The following is a 6,710-nucleotide window of genomic DNA, read 5'->3' as shown; positions in this document are numbered from 1 at the left end:
AAAATTATGTGGTGCTATTTCGATTAATTATAGTCTAATAATTCGTTTTGCAGATACACAGAATACTTAAATCTCATGTTTTTAAATGTGTATAAACTATTAAATTACTTCATTGTGAATGGTTTACACAGTAATTGGATTAAGTTGGTGAATCAATAAAACATGTTAACATGAAATTGCTGTTTGACATGATTCATTTTAGCCTTAATTATTTTGATTTTACCTATTGGCATAATGCGTATTTCCCATCTTCCAAATGATTCAAGAATCACAAATTCAGTGTTTATCAACACAGTGCATGTAAATCGTTTTAATTACTTGTTAATGAAGGTATCACTAGAGAAAACAATTATATGTGAAAAGTTGTAGAATGTGAACAATTGACATTGTCATTAAAGAAACCTGGTTGCATATATCGTACATTTACATTAGAAAGAACCAATATTTCCAAGGTATATAAAGCCATGTTTATGCTATGTGATTACCTGATTATATTTGCTAGTATTTTATATTTAAAATGAACTCTAACTAAAAATAATGCAGTCATATCTCATTGTTCAAGATATGAATGATTCTACAATTGCTTATTAATAGCTATATTGTGTGTGAGTATATGTGAAAGAGAAAAGGAGGCAAAGGAGGAGGGTATGGAGAGAGAAAGAGTGAGAGAAGGAAGGAAAGAAAGAGAGAATAAGATTTTATTACCATTGGATATCACTATGAATGTTTTGATTTTATTGTATGCTAAATCCTGAAAAGTCACACAAACTTCATGAGGGTTAAGGTGTTGAAATCTTTATAAGCTGGCAAAGAACTCTTCAAACTACCAGTATGCCATCTTTCTTCACTTGGTTCATAACAAAGAATCCGCAAAAAAGGGACATTGGGCAAGAAAGAGTGAAATGCAGTCTAAGACATGTACTCCTAAAATTGAAGTGGTTATCTGTAGCTGCATTTAAGTCATTAGTTGTCAGTTTGCAGAAGCTGAAATTTGTAGAGAATACTACTGAAAAAAGAGCAATTCTGAAAATAGTGTCGATGAATATTTCAGTTTTTATGAAATAATATAAAACATTGAGAGAAATTGGCAATGGGGGTAAAAATAGGTTCTTGTGAGTGGGGGATTTCCCGTGTATTTCTGACACCTAACTCTTTCAGTGCCACTTTGCCAGCTGGAAATCTCCACAGCCAGTGGTGCCCCTGCCCGAGGTTCATTCAGCTCTGGGCTCACTGCTGTGTTCACTTGGCACCCTCGGTACGGCGGGCTGCACTCAGCTCACACTACCAGCCCAGATCCCGAGAATGCTCAGGGACTCTTCATTCAGCCAGTGGCTGAGCTGGGCATAACATGACCTGCTTCCACTTGGGTGTCAGTGTCTGGACAAGGGGAAATGCTGCAGTTCCCAGAAACTCAGAGATGCCAGCAACTGTGGAGCTGACTCTCACCCGGGTAGTCCCTAGGTCTGAGCCTCAAGGACTGTTACAACTCTCTCTCTCTTCCTGCCACCCACAGTACAGCAAATGAGAGGTGGGGCGTGTTACAGCTCATTCATGTTACAGCTCATGTTTGTTCCTGCGGTCTGTAGTGCAGCAAACGAGGGGCATGTTACAGCCCTTTTGTGTTATACTTTGTTCATGTTACAGCTCGTTCCCGCAGCCCGCAGCACCACAAATGGGGTCATGTTGTAAAGCAGCATTTCTCCCTCATTGCTCGGTAAGTGGGAGGTAGGGTTACAGTTTTACAGCTCCTTTTGCACCCACTGTTCAGCAGGTTCCAGGTTCTTGTCCCGCTTCCAAGAGGAATGAGGTATGTGGACACCAGAGAGTAAGCAAAGCACAGAAGAATTTTATTGAGCTACAGAAGGAAAGCTCTCAGCACAGACAGTACCCAAGAGTGGGTGGCCCTCTGTATGAGAGCAGGCCTGAATGCAGATTGTCCAATGTGTGGCTGTGTTTTTTTTTTTTGTTTTTTTTTTTTTTTGAGGCAGAGTCTTGCTCTGTCACCCAGGCTGGAGTGCAGTGGCGCAATCTCGGCTCACTGCAAGCTCCGCCTCCCACGTTCAGGCCATTCTCCTGCCTCAGCCTCCCGAGTAGCTGGGACTACAGGCGCCCGCCACCACGCCCGGCTAATTTTTTTTTTTTTTTTAGTAGAGATGGGGTTTCACCGTCTTAGCCAGGATGGTCTTGATCTCCTGACCTCGTGATCTGCCCGCCTTGGCCTCCCAAATTGCTGGGATTACAGGCGTGAGCCACCACGCCCAGCCAAGTCCTGGTTTTTCATGAGCTCAGAGTACGGGAGTGCATACTGATTGGTCCATGGGCGGGCCTAGAAAGGGCACAATTTGATTGGCTAAAGGGCATTGAGGAAGTTCTCATTCCAGTCATTTACTCTTCCCAGAACTGGCAGCTCAGTTTTCAGGCTTTAAATTGTCTTTGGTTTGATGGTTGGGTTTCATGGGGGATCTGTACCTGTCTGCCTAGGAATTTGTCTGTCTCCTGCTGCTATTAATATCATTGTAAATAATTATCATCCAAAAAAAGCAAATGTTAGAGTAACAAACACTGAATAGTGTTTCCTTTTAGCCATTGATTTGTCATTAGAATATAAATTATTAAATTAATTTTAGAAAAATAGAATTAAAGGGAAATGCAAAAGTTTCCGACCCTTTTGGCTTTATTCACACTGGACTTACTGTAACCGGTAAACAACTACAGAATTGGATATAACATGTGAGCAAATATTTTTAGGCATAGGAAAACAGGTAGTGCAAAACTGTGAAGCTTGATAGAAATAAAGCGAGCCCTACTTTCAGTCGGGTTTTGAACATTAATGCACTTTTTAAACTCTACCCAGAAGATGTATATCAGAGAAAGAGAGTAGTTGTTTTTCTGAGATGGGGATACAAAGATTGGAGTTCAGTTTGCAGAAGAAGCTGAAATTTGTAGAGAATATTACTAGAAACTAGAAAACTGTCCCAAGTTTGGCCCCAAAAGTTTTCATGAGGGCTTCCTCTTAGTCGTTGAACAAGCATTGGTCTGATCATGTGAATGATAAGTTGAAGGTCTTGAAGAGTGTAACCACTGTGGAGCTTAAGGCAAATTGGAGATACCAGTGGTTATTCATCCCTTGGACTTCTGCCTAACCAGAATGGAAACGCATCACTGAGGACTTCAAGCATCCAGTTGTGACTCCAGAAATCTTATGTTTTAACAGTAATAGACATGTCCTAAGGGTAAGAAAATGTCCTAATACTAAGAGAAACCGATCTAAATAGACCAATATATTCTACTAGGGCCAGGAACAATGAGAGTGATTTTTCTCATCTTGCTAGGCATGCCAATCAACATCTATTCAGTTCAAAACAGATTATACGTTCTCAGTATAAACCATCACGAAAATATTTTGAAAAGAAGACATAGTGCATTCAACAAATACTAAAAATGTGGTTACTAGCCCATGGCCTGTATTTCAACTGAGGACACATTTCTTCTTCCTCTTTTCCAAATATTCCTAATAAGATAAAAATTTGAAACATTAAAATTGTTCAAAAATGCATGGAATTTGGCCTAATTTAAGCCTTAAAACAGTTCAGTTTTATAGACTTGTATATAACAATAGGCTTCAGGCTGGGCATGATGGCTCACACCTGTAATACCAGCACTTTAGGAGGCCGAGGCGGGAGGATCACCTGAAGTTGGGAGTTCGAGACCAGCCTGGCCAACATGGAGAAACCCCGTCTCTACTGAAAAAAATACAAAATCAGCCGGGCATGGTGGCACATGCCTGTAATCCCAGCTACTTGGGAGGCTGAGGCAGGAGAATCACTTGAAACTGGGAGGTGGAGGTTGCAGTGAGCTGAGATCGCACCTTTGAACTCCAGCCTGAGCAAAAAGAGCAAAACTCTGTCTCAAACAAACAAACGAACAAAAACAATAGGCTGCTATACTTAACAATATAATTGGACCTGTTGAATATACTTTGATTTCTGCCTTTCTTCATAATATGGCAATAAGTTATTCAGGTTTATTTATTTATTCAATCATGCATTATTCTGAATTATAGATGAGCTCTAGAACATTAAATTAAAATAAGAAATCTAACCCTGTAAGCAGAACTTGGAAATTAGTATGATCAAGGTCTTTTGGAGTGAGGAATATTAAAAACCTAGAGATATAATCAGGGATTACACATTAGCCACTAGATATTGGAAACTGAAGTAGTTAACATTCTGCTGCTAGTTGCAGACTTAAATCAGGATTCACTGCTCTCCAAGATTACATTTTCTATAGAAAAGATATCAAAAATGAAATCTCTACAGTATAAAAGTGACTATTAATTAAAGGGAACCAGAAAATTAAAATAATTTATTTCAATCAATAATGTAAAAATAGTAATATTTTAATGAGTTAACATTTCAAAATTTAAGGTGTTCCTTAATCTTTTTAAAATTGTGCATTTTTACTCATGTGTTTTAGAATAAATAACAATTCAAGATCATAAAAAATTAAGAGAAATATTAATCTAAAATAGCAAAACTTAAGAAAAAATTAAAAAACTTATACAGAAGAATAACTTTTTATTAGTCATATATTCCACTATTGGTATAATCACTAAGTTGCTAGATAAAAAGTAAATAGTATATTTATGATAACACATCCACACACATTCTTTCTTTCTCCCCAGAGTCCCCTTCATCTTCTACTAGTTTGAATATTATTCATTTATCTTATTTTTGTTTAGAAACCTGTCTAATAATTGCCCAACTTTATTGTCACAAAAGCATTTTTTAAAAATGCTTTTTATCTACCTCATTTATAATGATACGATGATGATCTTTCTTGATTTGAGTCTTTCAAGCTGCTGAAATTTTTCGGGCTCTATTTGGTTGCTTCATGATGGTGAATCTGATGCAGCTGGTCTCAGAGAGAACTCAGACATGCCCTTGATACCTATGTATGCACATTTATGAAGATTCCAGTGTTTATTATATGGGTATAATTGTGTCCCAGTAAATACTTATGGAAAGTCAATTTTGAATTTGATATAATTTTCATACTGCACAATTTTTTCGAACCATTTAAAAATGAGAAAAACATTTTTAGCTCAGAGGTTGTACAAAAACAGGCAGCAGGCTGGACTTGGCAGCAGGTTGGTCCATAGTTTGCCAATCTCTAGTACAAAAAGGCTCCAATCCTATATTTGTAGAATTAGGGAATGCTTTCCAATTTAAGAAGTACTAAACTGAAACTTGAAGGATGAAAGAGAATTACAGTTTCTAGCATAGACTGAGATTTAAAAATATAACTGTTGGCTAAAGGAGAACTTAGTCAAGTGAAAGGGATGAGGAGAGAAGTAAATGATAGTTCTAGAATAAGGAATCAGCTGTTCAAAATCTACAACAAAAGAGACTGTGACATTTTTGAGAGATCAAAATATACCTAGTGCGGTTGACTTGAAGACTGTGAAATGTGGAACAGGAAGCTACATGTTATTGGGAGAGCCACATCAACACTCCAAGCTGCACCTCCTCCTTTGCAAAAATGAGTAATAATATATTCTAGCATTGCAGAGATGGCTAAATAAGGTAATTGATATGGAATTGCTAAATGGGTAGAAAGCTTAATTTTTATTCTTCATATATTAGCTTTTTTCCAGAACTGTGCCTACTTAAATATTTTATTTTGACTTTATAAAATTTATTTATTTTGCTAAGCAATGTTTTAAAATTAACGTGGTTAAATTGAACATTCTCCAAATGTACTGCTTAATCAAATTCGTCAGTTAAATTTCATTATAAAGTTGATTTTATAATGTTTGCAAATATGTGAAAGTTACAAATAATGTTGTAGTAGCCCAGATAGGCTGAATTGAAACCTTATGTTATTTTGTTTTGTTCTATTCTGGCTTTGGTCTGAAAGGGCAGGCAGAGATCATATAGTGTTTTTCTATTGCACTAGTTTTTACAAGTTAATTCATAATTTTGTTTCATTTTCTCATTCATTTAGTCAATAAATATGTACAGAGGGTGCAATCACATGCAGCAATTATTTCTATATTACAGTTTCAAAAGATAGGAGCCCATTTTCCCTTGAGAATAAATCCAAAGTATAATTAACCACCTCAGCAAGAAAGACACAATACTTCACTGCCCTTCAAATAACCCTGAGTAAATTATTTATTCCCCCATAAAATAGATGGTCAATTGAACACATATCACCTCCCTCCAACCCCTTCCTGCTGTGTATATTTAGTGCTGAGCACAGTCTTCTGAGTTCTCAGCTATTCTTATAGTGCTATTTTCTTCTTTAATGTTACTTTTGACCTCTACATTGGCAATACTATTCAGGGTGCTCTCATTAAGGTCAATTTGTCTTATAGACAGTGAACTTCAAATGGAAACCCTGTCCACTCAATACAAGGAGATACGTAAGAAGTACTTTAACAAAAGTTTTACTTTCTACATGAGATTACTTCATTAAATTTGAGGCAATGTTGCTAATGGATTGAGTGAGGAGATATTTCACTATGCATTGTGACTGGACTTCAAAACTGTCTAACATTCCTCTGGCTCCATTCCACTGACTTATGTGTGGGATTTGGAATGTCATAGAAGGAAGCTTCAGGTTATTCATTTATGAAATGGCAGCATAAAGATCTATAGACCCCACAGAAATTCGACATCAATAATTATAAATTTTTTGTAAAATGT

This window comes from Homo sapiens, chromosome 13 (genome assembly GCF_000001405.40).
Source record: "Homo sapiens chromosome 13, GRCh38.p14 Primary Assembly".
NCBI lineage: Eukaryota > Metazoa > Chordata > Mammalia > Primates > Hominidae > Homo > Homo sapiens.
Note: the sequence above shows the minus strand (reverse complement) of the source record.